The sequence below is a fragment of the Homo sapiens genome, chromosome 3 (assembly GCF_000001405.40).
Source record: "Homo sapiens chromosome 3, GRCh38.p14 Primary Assembly".
Taxonomy (NCBI): domain Eukaryota; kingdom Metazoa; phylum Chordata; class Mammalia; order Primates; family Hominidae; genus Homo; species Homo sapiens.
The window spans coordinates 108284344-108308742 of NC_000003.12; the positions used below are offsets into that span (position 1 = coordinate 108284344).

The window sequence follows — 24399 nt, forward strand, 5'->3', positions numbered from 1 at the left end:
TATGTGTAGCCACTTTGTTCCTATGAAATATATGTCAGATGTCATTCCCATTTTGTTACTGAGGAAATAGCCCTGTTGCTGAGGATGGGCCTAAAGACTCACTGTAAAATCATAATAGTATAGGAGGAACTTGCAAATGATTAGGCATTTGAATGTCTACTATGTGCTAGGGCTTTGCTAGGGAAATCACATTTGCCTATACATAGCAAAATCACCAATCCCAAGCGGGAAAGTCAGGGGTAGTTCTAATAGCGTTGAGAAGTTATGAGGGTCTGGCAGATATTAAGTCTCCCTGGAACTAGAAAATTCAGAAGTCTTTTGTGATATATGTTTGAAAGATCAGAAGAATGGTAGCATAGTTTCATTTCAAAGAAGAACAATTCAATATTTCAGTATAAGTCAAATACTTTTTATAGATTTCTTGTTTAATCTTCTAACCACCCTGTGAGGTAGATGTTTTCCCCCTCTCGAAGACTAAAAAACTGTGATATAAAGAGATTAGGTAACTCACCACAATCAGTAAAGTAGCAATGAAAGACTTCCAGGAAGATCAAGTTGAAGTACTTGTCTATTCTCCTTCCACTTAGTACAATAAAAAACCTAGACATTATATTTTACACACACACACACACACACACACACACACACACACACACGGCCCTAAAACATAGAGAAAAGGCCCACAGGCTAGGAACCCTAAGATCCAAGATCAACAGGTTGGGGTATTCCCAAGGCTTTCTTTTAGCCTCATATATCTCAGAGGTGGAACTGAAATGGCTAGCAAACTGGAAATGCCAGTGGGCATAGGCCAAAAACATCCTAACAAAATCTTTCTTTCTTTACTAAAACAATCAGGAAAGGGGGAAACGTAGCAAGGCAGAAAACTTTTAGTAACAACTTCTCTACTTCAGCCAAATATCACAGAAAAAGTGGTGGAGAACTTAGGGTTTCACTTTCTGGAGGCTGTAAGGTGGTATCAGGAGGCTGAGTAGGGAATGTGGACTTTCATCCTCTTAGGCAGTATCAAGGACCCTGCCCTCACCAGAGTGTCAGTGGAGGCTGTGTGGAGTACCTGGACTTCCACCTCCACTCTGTAGTAATGAAATGGCACCCCCATTTTCCCCTGCTGAAGCTGTGTCAGAAAAAAAACAGCTGAAACACCATGTAAAAATAAGATCTAAAGTCTCATAAATGAAAAACTTTCACACTGCAAAAGTATCTGTTAAGAGGATGAAAAAATAAGCTACAAACTGAGATAAATTATTTGCAAACCATCTATTTGACAAAGGACTAGTATCTGGAATGTATCAAATACTCTCAAAATTCAACAGTCAAAAGAGAATCCAATCTGAAAATGGGTGAAGGACATGAACAGACATTTCACCCAAGAGTGTATACAATTGGTAAATGATAGTCATTAGGAAGAGTGTATACAATGCTGAAAAGATGTTCAACATTAGTAGACATCAGGGAAGTGAAATTTAAAATTACAATGAGATATTACTTTACACCTATGAGAATGGCTAGAATAAAAAATACTGAGAACACCAAATGCTGATAAGGATTTAGAAAAATTGGACCACTTATATTGCTGGTGGAAATATAAATAATATAGACATTCTGCGAAACAGTTTGGCAGTTTCTTAAAAAAACTAAACATTCCAGCAATTGCACCCTGAGTATTTCTCCCATAGAAATGAAAACTCATGTTTACTCAAAATTCTGCACATGGATATTTATGCCAGCTTTATTCATAATAGCCAAAAACTGAAGACAATTCTGATATTCTTCAATGGATGAATGGTTAAACTGTGGTACAACCATACCATGGAATACTACTCAGCAATAAAAAGGAATGAACTGGACAACCATCTGGATGAACCTCCAGAGAATTATGCTGAGTTTAAAAAGACGGTCTCAAAAATTATATACTGTATAATACCATTTGTAAGACATTTTTGAAATGATAAAATTATAAAAATGTAGAGCAGTTTAGTGATTGCTAGGGTTTAAGTGGGCTGTGGCAATGAAAGGTCAATATGAGAGATCCTTGTGGTGATAGAAATCGTCTGTTTCCTGCCTGCATCAATATCAACATCCTGGTTCCTAGGGGCCAAATTGTGTCCCCTCACAATTTGTCCATTGAAGTCCTAACTCTCATTACCTCAGAAAGTGACTATTTTGGGAGACAGGGTCTTTAAAGAGGCAATTAAGATGAAGTCATTAGGATGTGCCCTAATCCAATATTTCTGGTTTCCTTGTAAGAAGAGGTGATGAGGACACAGACACATAGAAAAGGAAGACCCTGCAAAGACACACAGAGAAGACAGCCATTTACAAGCCAAGCAGAGATGCCTCAGAAGAAACAACCCTGCTGACATGTTGGTCTTGTACTTATATCCTCCAGAATTGTGAGGAAATCAGTTTCCATTGTGTAAGCCACTCGGCTTGTGGTACTTTGTCATGGCAGCCCTAGAAAACTAATACACTAGTTATAATATTGTACTATAGTACAATATTGTTGTTGTCTTCCAGGGAAACTGAGTAAAGCATACATGGTATCTCTTTATATTATTTCTTACAACTGAACGTAAATCTGCAATTATTTCCAAATAAAAAGTATCTTTGTGAAGTTATTCTGAGGTTCAAATGCAGGCCTGTCTGTTGCTAAAGTTTATGATCAAACTGGCCCAAACTTTTGACTCGGTCCTGTGTCAGAGCAACTAATTGTGAGGCTATCAGTTATCCAAACTATGAATTCAGACTCAGGAGTTTGACATAGAGTCTTAGCAGTGATGGGTCAAAATGTAGCATTCTATGGGGTTTTCTAATTTTCTTTCTTGTGGTTCATTACTTCTGGACTGCCTCCTTCCGCAGAGAAATGACCCTATCTCACAGACCCAGAGCTTTGCATAAGGAGTGACCTCAGTGCTGTTGCTTTCATCTGTAAGTGAAAAGGCCTTAGCAATCTTAAAGGTAATTGATGCCACATGGTGTTCTGAGACTTTCCAAAAGTCATACTACATAATTTTGAGTGCAACCATTTTGTAGTCTTTAGGAACATATTGCTTTTAAGATGTCATTGGCACCAAATTTCCCCTAAATGTAAGCCACCTACATTGGGTCTGCAACTGAAAAAGTAATAATCAGAACTAAAGAAATAGTAATTGTTTCCATGCTTTAAAAATAAAATAAAAATCTCCTGTCAGACTCAAGAAGCTTCTCTCTGTTCCTTATGTGGTAAGGGATTTTCATAAGGCATTTTCAGGGGTAATTTTGACTTCATGAATGTTTTGCTTCATATGCTGACTTTAGAAATTAACCTCCTCATAAAATTCAATCCCACTTTGCTATTTTGACATTTCCTTTGTTTGAAAGTATTCATTAACATTTCACATAATTGCCCTGTTTCCAGAGCAAGTATGTAATTTCCTACAAAATGAAGACCTCATAATGCATATCCAATAAAGTCCACCCTGTCTGCCACTAGTTGATACCTTAGCCTTATCAAGGGATTGAAAGAATGATTTTTCTGCTGTTGGTCCTGTTGGATCCTGTTGAATCCTGTTGGTTGTCTCCACCACTAAAATGTGACCACCAGCCACGGCCATTTATAGCACCTACTATTCTTCAGTCATTGTTGTTCTCTTTGTTATGAACTCCTGGCTCTTTTTCTTTTTTCTTCTCTTTTCTTCTTTTTTTTTTTTTTTTTTGAGATGGAGTCTCACTCTGTCACCCAGGCTGGAGTGCAGTGGCACGATCTTGGCTCACTGCAACCTTCGCCTCCCAGGCTCAAGTGATTCTCCTGCCTCAGCCTCCCAAGTAGCTGGGACTACAGGCGCATGCCACCATGCCCAGTGAATTTTTGTATTTTTAGTAGAAATGGGGTTTCACCATGCTGGCCAGGCTGGTCTCGAACTCCTGACCTCGTGATCTGCCCTCCTTGGCCTCCCAAAGTGCTGGGATTAGAGGCGTCAGCCACCATGCCCGGCACTCCTCGCTCTTTTCTGAATATGTATACTGCCAGTGATTATTGCCAAGTCAGCATATAGAATGTCAAGCAAATTGATTAGAGTACTTTCATAACATTGCCTTTACCGAGATGGCCATGTAAACAACAATCAAATTTTCATACAATTGGATGCTAGGAAAAGCCATGATAATATACCTATGAGAACTTACATTCCAGTAAAATGTGAAGTCAAGGGATGGGCTTATAGGAACAGAGGTATTTCACTCTCTGACCAAAGAGTAAATTGCACAGAGCTTCAAGAGGAATTTTTAAAAATGAAATGTGTGTGTGTGTGTGCATGATTAAATATATTTAGTCAAGGGATGGGCTTATAGAAACAAAGGTATTTCACTCTCTGACCAAAGAGTAAATTGCACAGAGCTTCAAGAGGAATTTTTAAAAATGAAATGTGTGTGTGTGTGTGCATGATTAAATATATTTAGTCAAGAGATGGGCTTATAGAAACACATATAAATATATTTAATTTAAATATATTTTTAAACATTTTTAAAACATATTTATATATAATTATATATATTTATATATATTTATTTAAATAAAAATATATTTTCCTAAAGGATTAAAAGCAATTATGTAAACAGCTTTCACTTTATAATTTTTTCAACTGAAGTAATCTGTTCCAACAAACTATAATTAAAATGTTATTTAATAATTTTATCATTATTAATCATGTGGATAATTCTGGTGTTCAGATTATAGAATAGTAACTGACATAGGTATCTCTATTCTTTCAGGGAAATGGATTACTTGGCTAATCTATACAAATTGTTAATGTGTTCTTTAGGCAAGTCATGGAATAAACTCAATCGGTTGCTCCACAGTGTTAAATATTTTAGTTACTATATCTAAGATCCAGAAACTGGGTCTTAGTTTCCTTTCTTCATATTTATAACATAACACATTGCCTCTCAATCTTTAGTGACAAGCAAGCACAGCAATGTTTACCCAGGCTGCTGATTCCTGGTATCTGTCAAATATTATAAAGTGATACTTGTTGGCTCTTGTATTAGAAGCAGTGTTGCCAACTGATCTGATAGTCTGCATACACTGAATAGAATTGCTCCCTTTGGACTACTATTTAGGTCTAGATCTGTCCTTTCCAAATCAAGAATTGTTTGATATTCAGCAGTTGGTTTTTCTTGATCTTGTGCTCGTATGCTGGTAGCAAGATTGTACTTCATCAAGAGTTTTCATTTATTTTTTACTCAATATCCTTATTGTACCAGAAATAAATATAAATGGCCATGTTTCATTCTTATAAAATTATTGAAGGACAAAACTCCCTTAATACATATATGCATATATAATTACACCTGGCAAATACTGATATTATTGCTATTTTAGAACTCAAAGCTATAAAGACGTCATTCTGTTTTCTCTCCTCAGTGAGGCTGTTTGAAATAAGCCATCAATATATCTAAAATAAGCCATAAGAATAATCTTATGGCTTATTTTACATCTTATTAGAAAACATAGTATGAAAGGAAGCCAGGCAGAAAGCTTTATAGACCTACCCTAGAAATGTCTTTGAGTAAAGATAGTTACTTCCAGCTCTCTCAAACCATCTGTTGAATAGCAACTTACGTGTTTTTCCTTATATTTATATATGCATCCTTCTTCTTAAACAATTGCTACCTTAAAGGTCATCACAATTCTTGTTATTAAACACCTAATGTGTGCAAGTGATACAGAGCATAAAAAGATTATACTTGGTTTTCAAATATTAAATCTTATAGCCTTTGTCTGTGATTGGAAATTAAAAAAAAATGAGTATTGAATTTCAGGTCTGGTGATTAATAGGGTAATGAGAAGAATGAACCAGAAAAATCGAAAGAATGTGTTTGTAGCCTGTTTCAACTGAGATTTTCCCAAGCAGAGCCTGAAATAAGTCTTTCATGCAAGTACTTTTTTTTAATTCAGAGAAAATGTCCTTTAATATAACCCTTTCAAATTGTTTTCTTTATTTTTAACTTTTATTTTAGGTTCAGGAGTACATGTGCAGGATTGTTTTATCGGTGAACTCATGTCATGGGGGTTTGTTGTACAGATTATCTCATCACCCAGGTATTAAGCCTAGTACCCCATAGTTATTTTTTCTGTTCCTCTCCCTCCTCCCACCCTCCACTCTCAAGTAGACCCCAGTGTCTGTTTTTCCCTTCTTTGCGTTCATGAGTTCTCATCATTTAGCTCCTACTTGTAAGTGAGAACATGTGGTATTTGGTTTTCTGTTCCTAAGTTAGTTTGCTAGGGATAATGGCCTCCAACTCTATCCATGTTCCCACAAAAGATGTGATCTCCTTCCATTTTAATAGCTGCATAGTATTCCATTATGTATATTACCACATTTTCTTTATCCAAGCTGTCATTGATAGGCACTTAGGTTGATTCCAAGTCTTTGCTATTATGAATAGTGCTGCAATATACATTTGTGTGCCTGTGTCTTTATGGTAGAATGATTTATATTCCTCTGTATGTACCCAGTAATGGGATTGCTGGGTCAAATGGTAGTTCTGTTTGTGGCTCTTTGAGGACTCCTCCCCACCTCACTCTATGAGGCCAGCATTATCCTGATACTAAACCCAGGCAGAGACACAACAAAAAAAAGGAAACTTCAGGCAAATATCCTTGATGAACATTGATGCAAAAATCCTCAACAAAATACTTATAAACCGAATCCAGCAGCACATCAAAAAGCTAATCCACCATGATCAAATAGGTTTCATCTCCAGGATGCAAGGTTGGCTCAACATACAAAAATCAATAAATGTGATTCATCATATAAACAGAACTAAAGAATAAAAAACATGATTATCTCAACAGATGTAGAAAAAGCTTTCCATAAAATTAAACATCCCACATCCCTTCATGTTAAAAACTCTCAATAAACTAGGTATTGAAGGAACATATCTCAAAATAATAAGAGCCATTTATGACAAACCCACAGCCAACATTATACTGAATGGGCAAAAGCTGGAAGCATTCCTCTTAAAAACTGGCACCAGACAAGTATGCCCTCTCTCACCACTCCTATTCAACATAGTATTGGAAGTCCTAGCCAGAGCAATTAGTCAAGAGAAAGAAATAAAGGGCCTCCAAATAGGAAAAGAGGAACTCAAACTATCTGTTTGCAGATGACATTATTCTATATCTAGAAAACCCCATTGTCTCAGCCCAAAAGCTCCTTCAGCTGATAAACAACTTCAGCAGTTTCAAGATACAAAATCAATGTACAAAAATCACTGGCATTCCTATACACCAACAACAGCCAAGCTGAGAGCCAAATCAGGAAGGCAATCCCATTCGCAACTGCCAAAAAAGAATAAAATATCCAAAAGTACAGCTAATCAGGGAGGTGAAAGATCTCTACAATGAGAATTACAAAACACTGCTCAAAGAAATAAAAAATACAAACAAATGGAAAAACATCTCATGCTCATGGATAGAAAGAATCAATATCATTAAAATGGTCATACTGCCCAAAGCAATTTACAGATTCAGTGCTATTTCTATCAAACTACCAGTGACATTCTTCAGAGAACTAGAAAGAACTATTTTAAAATTCATGTAGAACCACAAAAGAGCCTGTATACCCAAGGCAATCCTAAGCAAAAAGAACAAAGCTGGAGGCATCACATTACCTGACTTCAAACTATACTACAAGGCTACAGTAACCAAAACAGCACGGTATTGGTACAAAAACAGACACATAGACAAGTGGAGCAGAATAGAGAGCCCAGAAATAAGGCCACACACCTATGATCTTCAGCAAAGCTGACAAAAACAAGCAATGGGGAAAACACTCCCTATTCAATATATTGTGCTAGGATAACTGGCTAGCCATATGCAGAAGCTTGAAAATGGATCCCTTCCTTACATTATATACAAAAATCAGCTCAAGATGGATTAAAGACTTAAATGTAAAACCCAAAACTATAAAAACCTTGGAAGACAACCTAGGCAATGCCATCCTGCCATAGGAATGGGCAAGGTTTCATGACAAAGACACCAAAAACAATTGCAACAAAAGCAAAAATTGACAAGCAGGATCTAATTAAACTTAAGAGCTTCTGTACAGCAAAAGAGACTATCAACAGAGTAAACAACCTGCAGAATAGGAGAAAATATTTGCAAACTATGAATCTGACAAAGGTCTAATATCCACCATCTATAAGGAACTTAAATTTGCAAGAGAAAAGCAAGTATTTTATTTTGGGAAGTGAATCCAGGGAACAGGGGAGGGGCCCTTGAGAAGAGTAAAACAGGAAGGAGGGAGAGCTAATCCAAGAGTGTGCTGTTCAGCTGGCTATGCCTGTGGGTAACTGGGGCTTAGTCTTGGTGGGGATGCTTTAAGGAACCACATAGAAGACACTTCAGGATTGTCAACCAGAGAGAAAACAGGGGAACAGCCTGACCTCCATAGGCTAAAATTAACACTGGAGGGTTTTTATTTTCTCTGTTTTAGGAGTCTCACTAGAAAGCAGAGAATCCCTGGGATAACAAGCAAGACAGACGCATAGTACAGCTGGGATGAAGTGCTGGTAAGGGCACCTGTGTAGAGCCTGTTGCCTCAACAATGTCCAGGACAAAAAGGTGAGCCAAGGGGATGTGAGAGGAGTATGGCAGATGTTTAATGTAATGCCCAACTTTGACACTTATTCATTAGGTGTATCATTTGTTCACTCTTAGCACCTGTTTCTTCATCCTAAATGAAGCAGGAGGATCACTTACCCTGGCTGTTTCCCAGAATGATCATTAAGAGAGTTGTGAAAGCACTTTGAAGCAATTTAAAAGCTAACTCACTGCAAAACTGAAGGTGGTTGATGCTATTCTAGACCTGAATATGAAGCAATACCAGGAAAACAGAGAACTAAGAATAGATCACAGAGAGCATCTAGAAGGCCTCAGGAAGTCCCTGCACTGATGTGGCAGTTCTGTTGTTACATTAACTAAGAAAAAAATCAACACAGATGCCAAAGAAAGTAGAGTATATTTGGGAAAAAAAGAATTGCAATTCAGGTACACTGAATTAGGGCAACACTAAATAGTGTCCTTTAAGGCAAGTTCAGGTTTTTAATAGGAGATTTCTTGAAAAAGTTGTTTTGAGGGGCAATTCACTGGCTGGACAGAAATCCTAAATTGCAGAGCTGTTCTGAATTGTTAGTTAATTAGGGTACTCCCAGCTGAGAGATGTTGAAGTCCAGTGGATTCTGACTTAAGGTGTTATCCAAGTCTGTTGGAACCTTCTGTGGCTTAACATTTAGCAGGTATGAGTGCAGTCCTCTCTTGATCTTCCAATTCCACTTTAATGCCTAGGCCTAAATTACTTTATGTCCTTTCACAGCAACAATGGGCCAGGAAGGCATGACATGCACAAATGATGACAGGCACCACACTTAGCATCTTGGAAAATGAATATGTGAGTTTAACACCTCAAGGTTTTTAATAGCTGAAATATTAGGAGACTTTTTTGCTGGAAATAAATATTGATTGAACTGATTCAGTAAATGCCTAATATATGAGGACCGTAATTCCTTATCTCCCTGTCAGACCAATTTAAGATCTACATTTTAGCCATGTCTGTCCACCTCTCAGCTTTAGAGTTTAAATTCACTTTCTTCTGCAGTATTTCGACAACTGAAAGACTCCAGTTGGATGACTAATTTCAGCCCTATTTGATCTGAGGATGCAACCGGTAGCTGCTCTCACATCCTCAAGTTACATGACAGTTATACTTTTTACTTCCTCAGAACATTTGCCAACTTAATAAATGTTCAATGCCAACATTAAATTCTCCCCTGAGCCTTAGTGTAGGTACATGTGCATAGATATAATCAGGATTAACCATATTTCATATGCCGTTTCTTCTCCCAGTCACTTGAAGACATCGTGGAGGCACTTTGCAGAAGAGAACCAAAAGTGGTGTTGAAATGGTAACAGATCCCAAAGCCTAACAGTTGAGCTCTTGCAAGCAGTGGCCCTACAGGTTCCCCTAATATAGGGTCCTAATGGTTCATCCTACTTCCTTTCAGGTACCCCTTCCTGAAATGAAGAATATGTTGCAAGGGAAAGGTTTGTAACCTAAAACTGTTGATCTAGTCTTCAATAATGGCATACATATCATAGCCACTTTCTCTGTGACATAAATCTCAGAGAAATTGTTCTTTCCTTCCTCAGCCATTGATATTATTTAAAACCGTGATTCTATTTTTACCTTCAGCTTGAACAATCTCTGCATAACAGGTATGTTTGTATGCATACGGCATTTCTTCCTAAAACTTCAAAAATCTTCAAAAAATATGTAATTCTTCTATTTTCAAATTCCGTGAGAGTCTGCTCTCCTCATGTGTATGCTTTAGGAGCTCTGCTATTTCCCTAAACTAATATTACAGTGGTGTGATGTACCATTAACTACATGGCCATGGAGATTCAGAGGTGAAAGCAGGGATTGCCTGCATCTTTTAAGTCCCAGTTTGATTTTGATTTCATTTCATAATAGATCTTATTAATGATAAAAGTTGGCGGCCGGGCGCGGTGGCTCACACCTGTAATCCCAGCACTTTGGGAGGCCGAGGCGGGCGGATCACGAGGTTAGGAGATTGAGACCATCCTGGCTAAACCAGGAACCCCAGCAAAACCCTATCTCTACTAAAAATACAAAAAAATTAGCCAGGCGTGGTGGCGGGCGCCTTTGGCACAGCACACAAATCCCCTGATCATATAATCATAGGGCCCTGTCTAGCTTTATAGCCTTTGGACATTACTGACCACATCAACTTTAACCTCCTGCCACACATGCACACTCAGGGGAGAGGGCAAGGTACATTTGGGGAACTCCCCCTCCTCTTCCCCATCTCTTCCTTGACTTCCTTCTTCTCTAGTCAGAGTCATCCATAGTGAGCCTTCTGCTGCCCACTGGAAACTGGGTTGAAAGTCCCAGCTACTCGGGAGGCTGAGGCAGGAGAATGGCGTGAACCTGGGAGACAGAGCTTGCAGTTAGCCGAGATCGTGCCACTGCACTCCAGCCTGGGCGACAGAAAGAGACTCTGTCTCAAAAAAAAAAAAAAAAAAAAAAACGAAAAACAAAAACAAACAAAAAAGAAAACGTTGGCGTGGGTGACTTTGGGGATTCTAGGAAGAGCCCTGGCGCTTTCAACCCAGTTTCCAGTGGGCAGCAGAAGGCTCACTATGGATGACTCTGACTAGAGAAGAAGGAAGTCAAGGAAGAGATGGGGAAGAGGAGGGGGAGTTCCCCAAATGTACTTTGCCCTCTCCCCTGAGTGTGCATGTGTGGCAGGAGGTTAACGTTGATGTGGTGAGTAATGCCGAAAGGCTATAAAGCTAGACAGGGCCCTATGATTATATGATCAGGGGATTTGTGTGCTGTGCCAAGGCTTGGATGGCATCCTTTGTTCCAGACAGAAGGGTCCTGTTTATTGTCCTCCTAAGGTAATTTTTGTTCACTTTGTAACTTTTGCTCCCATGCACTCAGCAAACAGATATTGACCAGCTACTATGTGCTAGTAAGTAAGTGGTAGTTGTTTGGGATACAATAGTGAGTAAAGCATGACTCTTAGCATCTGTTGTATGTGCATGCATGCCATGCATGTGACACTGAGGGAGAGAGAGATTAAATGATATGACAGCATAGAGGCTGGGCACTGCCCAACTTTCCATGTGGAATTCAGAGAGGTCTTTATTTCTCTGAAGTTGAGTTTAAGCTTGGGTGTTCTAGCGACCAGAACTGTAATGGGAATTGTAGGTGCAGATGAACTTTGTGTAGGGTTATGGTTCTTTCTCACAGAACTATTGGCACCCACTGCAACCAGCTACACAATTTTCTTTACAACTCTGCAGCAAGCTAGACAGGTCACAGGCAGTCCAACCTCAGGAGGTTGCCTGTATCATGTTGATGGTGAAGCTGACACCATAGCATGGAAACCAGAGTCCACTGCTCCCACAGCTCAATGCTTAGCTGTTTCAATATGTTGTCTGAAACTGCATCTTCTAATTCCTGGACTTTTCAGATCTGTACTGACTCAGATCTGGGTGGGGCTTAGTTTGAAGGAGGGAGTCCTTGGTGATGATGTGATTTCCTTGGTCTGTCATAGGTAGCAAATCAAACGTACCTTGGACTTTACTCTCTGAGAAACTCATAGCTGAATTCAATGTTTATTCTTATGGACTACTTAGCATTTGACTAGACGGTATGAATTTCTAAGTAAGGTAAGGATTTCTTTCTAAGTTGTTTATACCTAGAACTTAAAAGTGGGCATGAATAAATCAAATATGGGTGGTTTTTAGTTGACACTTTATTTTCCCGTTAGGAAAAAATTAGTGACTGATCTTTTAAATTGATTTAGTGCATATACTATGTATTGTGCATATGCACCAAACAAATACTTAGTAAAAGGTTGTCTTGAAGGAACATGCTGATATATTTCAAATAAAAGAACTTAGCAAAAATGAGGAAAATACCTAACATTCTGGTAAGACAGTGAAAGAGGGATGAGCAATGTTTGTTTTGAAAATTATCTGCGAACTTTAAAAAAATCTCTAAGAGTGTATTCTTACTTGTAATTGTTCATCTAGTTACACTACAGAGTTTTATTAGCTGCTCCAAGATGCACTGCGTTCCATTCTGTGGTGGAAACAAAAGGACCGTAGTAGTGGTTATCTAGCAGAAGAATCGTGATCTTTGAATTCTAATACAAGAAACTTAGAAGTCTCCTAGATATTTCCACTGTCTCAGGGAAGAATCATTAAGTTTATGTCATTTTTTAATAACTAAAACAAGATTCAAAAAGTTAAGATTCAATTCTCATTGGGTTTCTATTGTTTGGGACTTTGGATAATAGAAAAAAATATGAACAGGTAATTTAGGTTTTTTTGTGTTACTGGTACCTGACAAAACAAACTTGAGCTTCCCATTTCCTAGAAACTTGGAGGAAATAATTTCTGTCCAGAATGGCAAATTGGTGTCATATCCCATTATAAGCATATTTTAATCAAAAGATGCAATAAAGTGTAGTGGTCAAGATCATAGTCTCTAGAGTCAAGTAATCCTTGGTGCATTTACCTGCTTCATCATTAACCAGTTGTATATTTTTCTCAGAGCCAGTTTCCTAATCTGTAAAATGGGGGTAGACTAGTATTGCTGTGAAGATTAAATGAAATTTATTAAAGTGCTTAGCAAAGTGCCTGGTATGTAGAAAGTGTTTAATAAATATTATTATTTCAGAATATAGATGTAAAAGACAAATGATTTCCTATATAATCATATTGAGTAGCCTGAAAGTTTGGTGGCTCTTAAATAAATCCATGAATGAAGGCTCTGCCTACTTTTGGCGTGTGGCCCACCAGCATGTTCTATCAGTTGGCCTGAGCTGGGAAAGAAACCAATTCCTGTGTTGAGTTTTCCTCCAGGTGCTTAAAATAGACCATAGCTTAATATTTTGATCATTAACCAGTGATTCTGGGTGGCTTCTCCTTGCTCTGGTCAGTGACCGGTGTAGGTCACGTAGTACAGCATTAAACAAGGTGTTTTTCCTCCTGAGGTTGTCATGTCAACTCTAAATTCCCAGAGACTTGCCTAGGAGTGGAGAGTTTGTTCTGAGTTACATAACCAGCATTCTCTTTGAGGCTTTGAATGTCTGTCTAACTGACTTCTGACTGCAGGCATGCAAACTTTTCCCCTGCCTAGTAGGAATGAATACCCCTTTTCCAAGTATCTGCATAGCAGCGACCCAGGGGCTATCCAAGAGCCAGTTGCTTCCTGACTTAATTTCTGGGAAGACCAATTGCCTATTCAAGAGAAATTCCTTCCTCCTTATTCTTCTGTCAGATGAGACTAGCTATTAGGTATTCCCTATCTAGGACTCTGACCTGACTCTCCTAGAAAAGAAAATGAGGATCCAAGTCCATTCCGTTTAACTGGGGCTATAAACATATGCCACCAGAAAAATCCTGCTATTCTGGCTTATTATAACTTTAGGTTCTCCTTTCTAACACAATACTATCTTTATAACATGTACACACCTTTCCTTGGTATTCAGTTGTAGTGTTTATATGTTCAAAATCCTTCTAATTTAGCCCCAACTAAAGTTTCCAGTATATATTTGCAGGCCCCTTTTACTGCACCATCTTCAGTAAAATGCATATTTCTCTTTCTTCAGCATAGGCTTCACCCTTAGAAGCTTGCTTTTCTCTGGATATTCATTTCCAGCAGGTCTCAGAGATAATGTACTGTATTGCATCTTTTTCTGTTGGAGACTAGAATGCAGTTAGCAGGTGCAGCTTGTTATAATAACTGCAGATTCAGATTTTTTCTCTCTGTAAATACTGTTAAATGTCCCCTCAGAGGCTCATTTTAAAATTGAGTAACGAATGGGGGCTTGTTTTTCCTTAGTCCTCGATCTTGGAATCTTAGAGTCTGTCATTGCACATTGCTGCTTACCATTTAGAGTTCAAACCACTAATTCCCAAGTGATAAGAGATTAAGATACAAACCTGAGATAGGCAAATGTACACTTGCAGCTTCCTTGCTTTAATACTTCTGTTTCAGGTGGGATGTCTTCTCCATGGCTATCCAGGTCTGTCCTAGACACCACCTTCGAGAAATGAGATCCTTTCTATCTAATTTAACCTAGATTAGAGACATCACCAAGAACACCTTCTGAAGGTGAAAACCTTTTACCTTTTCTTTTTGTCCCATACTCTATATTCCTTAACTGCAATCACTACAATATCCTGTCAATTACACAAAATTAATGTTACTATGACCAACTTTGATAATATTTCTATTTCCAAATTGACAAATTATATTCCTAATCTAATTACATTCATGCAAAGCTAGTAGCTCTGTAGTTATATCAACTTGGCAACAAGGAAAATAAACTTAGTTTAAAAAAAGACTCAAAAAGTTAAATCACTTTTGTAAAAGACCCAGAAAAAATATATATATATAATCATATAACTATTATAATACATAAATATATAAATGTTATATAAATATAATACATATTTATTATAGATAATAAGTGAAAAGGGTGAAATTGATGGAGTCAGAGCTTAGAAATCTTGTTAGTGTGGTGGGAGGAGAGAAAGGTGAGGAGTAGTCAGATTATGAAGAATTCCGTCAGAGTAGTATGTTCTGAGTTGCAAATTCAGGGGTGGAACAGAAAGTTCTGGGTGATAAGTGCAGGAATCTATGGAAATGCTACGCTGAGTGGAGTAAAAGTAACTAGTTTTGGAGTTCTTGACTTTTTCTTCCTAGAGTTTTAGATTTGCTGATAAGAGAGGAGGAAGGGACATAGAAAACTCAGATGACCCAAGTGGCAAGCATTTCTTAAATATTTCAGACCCATAAAGGTACAAATTATACTCTAACTCAACCTTATATGCCCTATCCAGCTCAAATACTATTGACATTCGCTAGGTACCATTTCGTGTAGGAGCAAGGGTCACTCTAGAATAAACTTAGATTCTCACAGTGAGATACAGAATCCCTAAAGGTACAGGAGCGATGGCTTGGAAAGAGCACAGTTGGATGACGAGAGTCCCAGCTTTATTTTCAGATTCCAGTGTGGCGAGAAGACGGGAAAATGAGCAACTCTTCTTAAGAAAAAGGAGATAGGGAAATGGCGCTTTGGGGAAAGAATTGAGTTCCATCTGAGGAGGGAAAGCAGCAGGAATCTGAGCAGGTTTTGGGTAACAGGCAGTTTATTGGGTAATGATGTTTTCAGAGTACACAAGGAAGAGGTTTGAAAGGACCAACAGAAGGGGAAGGCTGGGTGGGTCGAGGGGAAACAGCACAGAACCTGGGAGAGACAGTGTGTGAGAAGATGAGTAAGCAAGCGTCCTGTTCACAGCATGAAGTACCAGCTTTTGCAGAGACAGGAGGCAGGGTGGGAAGAAACAGCCCAGGGAATTCAAGGACAACCTGCCATGGGGTTTCACTGTATGCCTTTGTTTCATAGAAAGGATTTCACCACAAGGAGTTGATGAGTCAAAGATTCAGGTGCAAGTGATTTATTAAAATAGTGCTCTTAGACGAAACCAGTTAGGGGGTAGAGAAAGCCAGAGTGATGGGTAGATTAGGAATATAAACCAGGTGAGCCAATAATAGGAAAAGCATGGTTTGCTGGGGCTTCCAGGAAATAAGCTTCTCTCCTTAATAAGAAGCGCTGGTGAAGCTCCAGTTCTTTTCGTCTGGGTTTAGCGGTGTGTGAGGTCAGGCCTGAAACATCTACAGCCACTTCATTATCACGAGGGAAGCTAGGTTGTGTATAAGGTAAACCCACAGGAGGCAAAGCAGAGACGTGAAACCTAGTGACATACGTCCTGGGTAGAGCTGGCCAGAGGCTCCTAGAAGCCTCAGTTATGTTTCTCAGAAGATTCCCTTTGTTGTCTAAGCCAGTTCCAGGATGTTGCTCTTATTGCTTGTAACAGAAATCTAAATTCCCAAACACTTTATTTTAATAATGCTGTCATATTTATCTAAATGTTCTTTAATCTGGGAATTGAGAGTAATCAAAAATGACTAATGACATCAAATATTTACGTTTAGCTTCTAACACAGCTGAAATATTTCATAGCAGTACAATGAAATGAGAGAATTTCCTTTCTCTCATTTTCACTGAAATTTTCTCTTCCTTTCACTGGAAAGGAAGGAATTATACATGCACAATATCTCTTCTAATTTATGTCTTCTGATCTTGGAGTTAGTCTCCTTAAAATTTGAGTGTGAGGAGACCTAGGCCCTCCAAACCAATGTTCCCTATTGAATTTAGCGTTTTATTTTATATGCAAAACATTATATCCTAAGTGTGCTTTGTAGATTACATTTCTAATTCCTGTTCACTCTTGTGCTTTTAGTGTTGCATGCTCTGACATAGTTCTGCAAGCTGTCTTTGAAAAGCTTTTTACCTCTTCTTTTTACTGTACTTTTGTCTTCCCTGTGAATTCCAGAGACGTGACTGCAGAAATAGATGACTGAATACTAAGTATGTATAGGTTCTATTTTCCCACTTTTATTTACGTTTCTGAGGATTCCAAACACGTTTGTTGTTCTTGAGGCATTTCTTCTAGAGTTATCTTCTTACAGTCTTTTTTATTAAGGTAACTCCAGTTCAATTCTTACCCCTTAGTTCCTCCCCACCCCACCACAATTTTCCTCCCCTGCCCCCAATTATTTCAATTGTCCTTGTCTCTTATATTCCTATTTTCTTCCGTAGGCTAATTTGAGAGACTGCATTGTTTCTCTTTCCCTTTTGGAAGTTGAGGGTGGCCCGTGGTAGTTTTAATCTGCTTGGCAAATTCTTGTAATCTTTTCTCATAAGGATTCTACCCCTTTCTCCCTCAACTCAAGCAGCCTCAAGGTCATCTTGCCTCCTCCTTTCTTCTTGGAACCAAGCAGCATGCTTTACTTTTCACTTCTTCCTGCTTGCTACCTTAACTCCTCTATTGTTTCTCTTCTGCTTCTAAATTGGTTTCATCCGAGTGACTCGAGTGACTCGCATTTACCAAGTATTGCCTATGAGCTCTGTGGTTTGTGTGCTGCCTGTACAATATAAAAGGTAATCCACATAACTGAGCTGAGGTAGTGGGTTGATATTCTCATTTTAGAAGAAAGTTGAGATATGCTATAGTTTAGGAAATAAGACAAGTAATCTAGATTTGATTTCTGTGTTGCTATTTATATTAGTAATCTAATTCACACAAGAATGTATACTTGTGAGTTACATAGATCTGATTTTTATAGTAGGGAAATGAATATTAACATGAAGATTAAACAGTCTGACTTTAAAATGGTATATAAATGAGTTTGAAAGAGAAAATACCTGATTTCATTTTCTGTTCTGTTGTAGTAGGAGGGTTAGTCTTTCGATAACAGGTCTGAAATAGCATGATACCTGGAAACCATGATTACTGGAAACTGTAAATATTTTACCATCCAGGGTTCAACCTCCTACCCCTTATTCTCCTGACAGTACGCTGAGACAAACATTTTATTAACTAACATCTCTCTCAACATTTTCCCCTGCTAATTGCATTTTGATTGGTTCAAATTCCGTGTGGGGATTCCTTGATTCTGACAGTACAAGACATTCAGTTCTCTTCAAGTCATGTAATCGACTTTTTTGAATTAGTTTTCAGTTTCATTTTGTTTTCCCTAATTCAAGTTGGGAACACTTCATTTTCCCCAATTCAAGTTGGGAACACTTCCTTGGTATTTCCTTGCTACATGGACTTTAGCAAATGCTACTTTACTCTCCTTCCAGCTACTCAGGAGGCTGAGGCAGGAGAATCGCTTGAACCCGGGAGGCGGAGGTTACAGTGAGCCTTTTCCTAGTTTTACTGTTGGAAGCCTAACTCACAGGAGAGATTATGCAATACAGTCCTGAAGTCAAGGGAGGAGAGGTAGGAAGGGAGAGGGGAAAAGAAGTTCCTTGAGGGCATTTACTAGAAATGCCTCCTGGTGCTGCCTTTTCTGTTCTGGGCTAGCTGTCTCCTTGAAAACAGCACACACTAATAGGAAATTTAAAAAAAATCCTGGACTCGGTATGCTCTGTTGTCTTTTGTGGAGAAGTCAAAGCACCTTCTTTTTCTTCTCCACCCATGCCCCATCTCTTTGTTGCTTGTTTAGGCAAAAAAGTAAAATATTTCTTCCCCTTATTTGGCATTCAACTGCTTAATTCAGTTATGTCTTGGTTCTGAGTTTTCTGTATCAACTTTTCCTACAATGTGGAAACTTTAGATCAACAGATTCAATTCTGTCTTCATTTTAGAAAAGTTTTCTTACATTGTATTTATGTATCAACTCCTTGATTTGATGAGTTCTTGACTTCAGGGGCCAATATCAATTATCCTAATACTGTGTCATTTATGTGCTATAATGTAACCTCATCTAATTGCATTCAATTTATGTTCTATAGCTCAACCTCATCTAGTGCATTCATCTCTTTCATCTGAATTCATGAAGATATCACAAATCTTCCTCTACTTTGGCTTTCAGTGATATCACTTCTGTACTTTGCTAGCTCTACATTCTTATTAGTTATCTCTAGAAATTTTAGTCCATATTTTGTTTCCTCATATCTACAATCCTCTTCTCATCCTATCATTTTGTTTAGCTTGTTTTTGAGTACTTGTTTTGTTGTGTACATATGCTGGTCATTAATTTCTAATATAAAACATATAATTATTTTGTATATTTTTTTCTAGAGGGTATAGACCTAATTTAAGTGAAGTTTTCCTTTCTGTTCTTTGAACTGTTTTATTCCAGGTTGGGCTTTATTTTTTGGTCACTTGCATGCCATTCCTGTACCCCACCTATTTTGGATTATAGTGTATATTATGTAGCATGTCAGTTTTTTATTTTGCCCAGTTAGTGGCCAGGTAATTAAATCAGTTCTGACATAGTAGGTACGTGATGGGCTCTTGATTTTTTTTTCTCATTTTGTCTGAGACCTATAATCCATTATTGCAACCACCATCGCCACCACCTCACAGCAGGTGACTCTGGTGGTTGGGTATTTTGTGTTCTCTCATTTGCTTAGGCTGAGTTATTGGCAGGGGTGGAAATAAACTTTTTGTTAGATAATTGAACTGACTCTCATTTTTGGACCTACTGAATATCACATTCCAATGTTTATATCATTTAGTTGGTGGTGTGTATACGCGTGTGTAGTGTTCTAAAGGGGAATGCACTGGCGTTTTGAGTGGCTTCTCTCTGTTCAATGTATCATTGTATAAGCTATGCTCCCATTGTCATGTCAACGCCATTGTTTATGTTCCCATTTGTTTCCTACTCCTTCCCAGTCAAGAAAGAAAGAAGAAAGATTTCTCTCCAAATTTAGGCATTGTGTTACTTTCCTCAGGCTCCTTTAACAAACTACCACAAATATGGTGGCTTAAATTAAGAAAAACATATCCTCTCAGTTCTGAAGGCTAGAAGTCCAAAATCAAGGTGTTGGCAGGCCCACACTTCTGAAGATTCTAGGGGAGAATCCTTCCTTGTTCTGCCAACTTCTGGCGACTCCTGGTGTTCCTTGTCTTGTGTCAATATAAGTTCAGTCTCTGCCACCGTCTGTGTCTCCTTTCATACCTCTCATAGGACTTAAGACACAGCCTAATCCAGTATGATTTCATATCAGTCTTCACCTTAATTACATCTACAAAGACCTATTTTCAAATAAGCTCCCATTCTGAGGTTCTAGGTGGATGTGAAATTTTGAAGAACAACCAGTCGATCCACTACAAATATATTAGAAAGGACTTTCAGGGCTTCAGCAACACACCACAAATCTACTGTGTCTGAGAGTGGGCTTCACCTCCCTACTAATGGTCTGTTCTGCAGATCGCTAATCTCTCTAGATCTGGTAAATTGCTCCTTCAGCCCAGGATGTTAGGGTACTTGTCCATGTTGCTAGTCTTGGGGGTACAGCATCATTCTTGTTAGTTTCACTTAACCCTGCCTGCAGCTGTATAAATAGTCACATTAGTAAACTATTGATGATTACCACAATATGTTGTCATATTTGCTGCCTGAGTAGGATTACTGGTTGACTTTGCATCCTTGCCTTATAATTGATTTTTACAGGGACTATTTCTAATGTTTCCCCATTGAAGATTCTGTCTGTTTTTATAGGGTTTTCAGACATATTCTTTGTCACATTAAAACCTTTTACTCATCAATGAGGAATTTGCAATTACTTTGTACATTATCTATTTTTTTCTGCATGGATTCAGATGATTGGTTTTTCAACTCTAATCTGCTTAATATGCTTTTAGCCTGGGTTTTCTAGAAAACAGAACCTGAGCAAGGATTAAAATGCTGATGCTTTATTTGGGAGGTTAAAAACTCAGGGCTGTGAGAGAGAAGGAAAGCGGAAGCAAGGCAAGGGAAGATGGGCAGCTTTGTAAACGGACAGATTACCATGCTGGCTACTGCTTCACGAGTAGTCAGAAAGACCCAGCAATTCTCTTGGTCGTAGCATTCATCAGTGTGAAGGACTTTTCTGAATGGGAATGTAGAAAACCGTGCCTCAAAGTCCTCCACGGGAGGAAAGAAGATGGGGGGATTCATCTGCCCAGATCTAGTCGTTCCTGTTGGTTAAAATTTACCTCACAGGAAATAAGCAGTTCCATATATCCCAATGTCATCATCTAGTCCCTTTAATAGCAGCTCAGAGTGCTGAGTCCCATGCCCTGCTGTATAGAGTTCCATTCCATTCCAGAAGTATCAGGAGGAACCAGACACTCCAGGTACATGCCTGGTTGGCTCAGCTCTGGGTGGTGGCCAAGGAGGAAGGCTTGGCACTCTCAGGGCAAATGACTCAACAGAGCCTCACAGTGACAGTTAAGGTCAGTGACACATTTGAGCCAAGGAAATCTGAGGCACACAGACTTTGGTCTGATACATGTGATAAATCACATTTATAAATCTTCTAATGGTAAATCTTCTTTGGATTCCTGGAGAAAACCCAACTTGGTCACTGTGGCAGCCATGAAAATGTGGGCTCACATCTGCTGTGGGGAGTGTGGGTGATTGCAGCCCCAGGTGCTGCTGTCTGGATCATCACCACCTTTGTGTCATGGCCATGACTGATCTCAGCTGATGCTCCACTGATTATTCATTCCCTCAGTGATTGAGCACAGTGGCAAGGCTAACAAGGGAATCCTCTAATGGATGACTTTGGTGCAAGGGTTCCCCAGTCATCTAACAAAACTTTCTTAGAACTGCTGCAAGCCTGACGTTCCTTTCACTCCATTTCCACCCTTCCTCTCTCCTTTAACATCACAGTTGGAAAGTTCTCCTCACTTCTGCTTTCCCCCTTTATCCTTCACAGGAATTTTCCTCACTAGCATCCCTTGAACATCGTGTCCCATCTTAGTGTCTGCTTCTTGTAGAACGTGATTAGCACAGTCATAATACATTATCTGTTTTAATATTGTTAGATTTGGTTTACAACATTTTGTCCAGATTTTCATATCTCTTTTCCTGAGTGAAATAGATTATCTTCTGTCCTCATACAGTCTTTTCCTGGGTTTAAATAATGCTGTCCTTGAAGTTTGGTAGAATTTGTCTGGAAAACCATCTGGGCCTGCTCGAGCTCTCCCTCTCTCTCCCTCTGTGCGTGTGTGTGAAGGTTTTAAACTGCTATCCAATTTCTTTAATAATTATAGGACTCTTTAAGATTTCTATTTTGTGTGTATGTCAGTTAAGGAAAGATTCTCAGAAAACTGTTTTTAAATCCACTGGCAGAATGTTGCTGATACTATTATCTTTTCACATCTCTGCTTTATCTGTAGTTAGGCCAACTTTTTTAACATACTACATTTTCTCACTTCATTTTGCCAGAAGTTTGTCTATTGTCAATTTGTAGTCTTGTTAATCAATTTTTGACTTCAACCTTTTCCATTGTATATATATATATTTTTCTATTTTATTTCCACTGTTATATTTTCCTGCTACTTTTTTGAATTTTTCTTTTTTTGAGACAGAGTCTCGCTCTGTCACACAGGCTGGAGTGCAATGGCACGATCTCGGCTCACTGTAACCTCCACCTCCCAGGTTCAAGCAATTCTCCTGCCTCAGGCTCCCAAGTATCTGGGATTACAGGCATCCGCCACCATGCCTGGCTAACTTTTGTGTTTTTAGTAAAGACAGGGTTTCACCACGTTGGCCAGGCTGGTCTTGAACTCCTGACCTCAGGTGACCTCAGGTGAGCCACTGTGCCCAGCCCTTTTTAAAAAAAATTTTCTAACTTAGATTTTATACTCATTTAATATCTGCTTACCTTTATTCCTTTTTAATACAAATGTTTGATTAAATTCTCCTTAAAACTGCTTTTATTGTATTCTACCTCTTTGTATATGTTGTGCTTTTTCATTTGGTTCTGAGTAATAACCATTTTTATGTTAGAATAATTTTAGAGTTACAGAAAAGTTATGAAGATATTATAAGAGTTCTTGTTGGCCAGGCGTGGTGGCTCACGGCTGTAATCTCAGTAATTTGGGAGGCCGAGGCGGGTGGATCATGAGGTAAGGAGTTCGAGACCAGCCTGGCCAACATGGTGAAACCCCATCTCTACTAAAAATACAAAAATTAGCCAGGCCTGGTGGCAGGTGCCTGTAATCCCAGCTACTCGGGAGGCTGAGGCAGGAGAATCACTTGAAACAAGAAGACGGAGGTTGCAGTCAGCCAAGATCACGCCACTGCACTTCAGTCTGGGCAATAAGAGTGAAACTCTGTCTCAAAAAAAAAAAAAAGAGTTCTTGTTAACTTTTGCCCAGCTTCCACTTTGTTAACATTGTATATACATGGTTCATTTGTCAAAACTTAAGAAATTATCATGGTACAATACTACTAACTAAACTACAGATTCTATTTGAAGGTCACCAGTTTTCCCAGTAACTTCCTTTTTCTGTTTCAGGATCCAATCCAGAATACCACAATGCATTTAGTAATTAGGTCTTTTTTTTTATTTTCAATTTTAATTTTTGTGGGTACATAACAGGTATATATATGTATGAGATACATGAAATGTTTTAATACATGCATGCAATGTAAAATAAGGACATCATGGAGAATGGGGTATCCATCCTATTAAGCATTTGTCCTTTGAATTACAAATAATTCAATTACACTCTTAAAATTATTTTAAAATGTGCAATTATGTTATTGATTATAGTCACTCTGTTGTGCTACCACATAATAGGTCTTATTGATTCTTTCTAACTATTTTTTGTACCCATTAACCATCCCCACCTTCCCCGCAACCACCACTACCCTTCCCAGCCTCTGGTAACAAACCTACTCTCCAGGCCCATGAGTTTAATGGTTTTGATTTTTAGATCCAACAAACGAGTGAGAACATGTGACGTTTGTCTTTCTGTGCCTGGCTTATTTCACTTAACATAATAATCTCCAGCTCCATCCATGTCGTTGCAACTAATTGGATCTCATTCTTTTTTATGGCTGAATAGTTACTCCATTGTATATATGTACCACATTTTCTTTTATCCATTTATCTGTTGATGGACACTTACGTTGCTTCCAAATCTTAGCTATTATGAGCAGTGCTGTAACAAACATAGCAGTGCAAATATCTCTTTGATATACTGATTTCCTTTCTCTTGGGTATATACCCAGCAGTGGGATTGCTGGATCATACAGTAGTTCAATTTTTAGTTTTTTAGGAACCTCCAAACTTTTCTTCATACTGTTGTACTAATTTAGATTCCCACCAACAAGGTATGAGCATTCCCTTTTCTCCACATCCTTGCCAGCATTTGTTATTGCCTGTCTTTTGGATAGAAGCCATTTTAACGGGGGTGAGATGATATCTCATTATAGTTTTGAT

At 38.5% G+C, this 24399-nt stretch overlaps 1 protein-coding gene across 13 annotated transcripts in view, besides 1 other annotated feature; it reads left to right on the top strand.

Moving 5' to 3' along the window:
- Positions 2918 to 2967: a silencer, noted in NCBI's record as "silent region_14596". NCBI's record gives its function as "represses an Ori minimal core promoter by ATAC-STARR-seq in GM12878 lymphoblastoid cells {active_cell/tissue: GM12878}" and the evidence as "EXISTENCE:reporter gene assay evidence [ECO:0000049][PMID:35858748]".
- Positions 12205 to 24399, top strand: part of HHLA2 (HHLA2 member of B7 family) — an 81738-nt gene continuing 69543 nt past the window's right edge. For 10 of the 13 annotated variants that reach the window (XM_011512362.3, XM_005247080.4, NM_001282558.2 and 7 more), the window contains exon 1: positions 12205 to 12256. The gene's annotated coding sequence lies outside the window, so the exon portion shown is untranslated. Of the gene's footprint in view, positions 14712 to 18141; positions 18452 to 24399 lie in introns of those variants that run through there. The other 3 variants (XM_047447369.1, NM_007072.4, XM_024453326.2) reach the window with 3 other exon arrangements.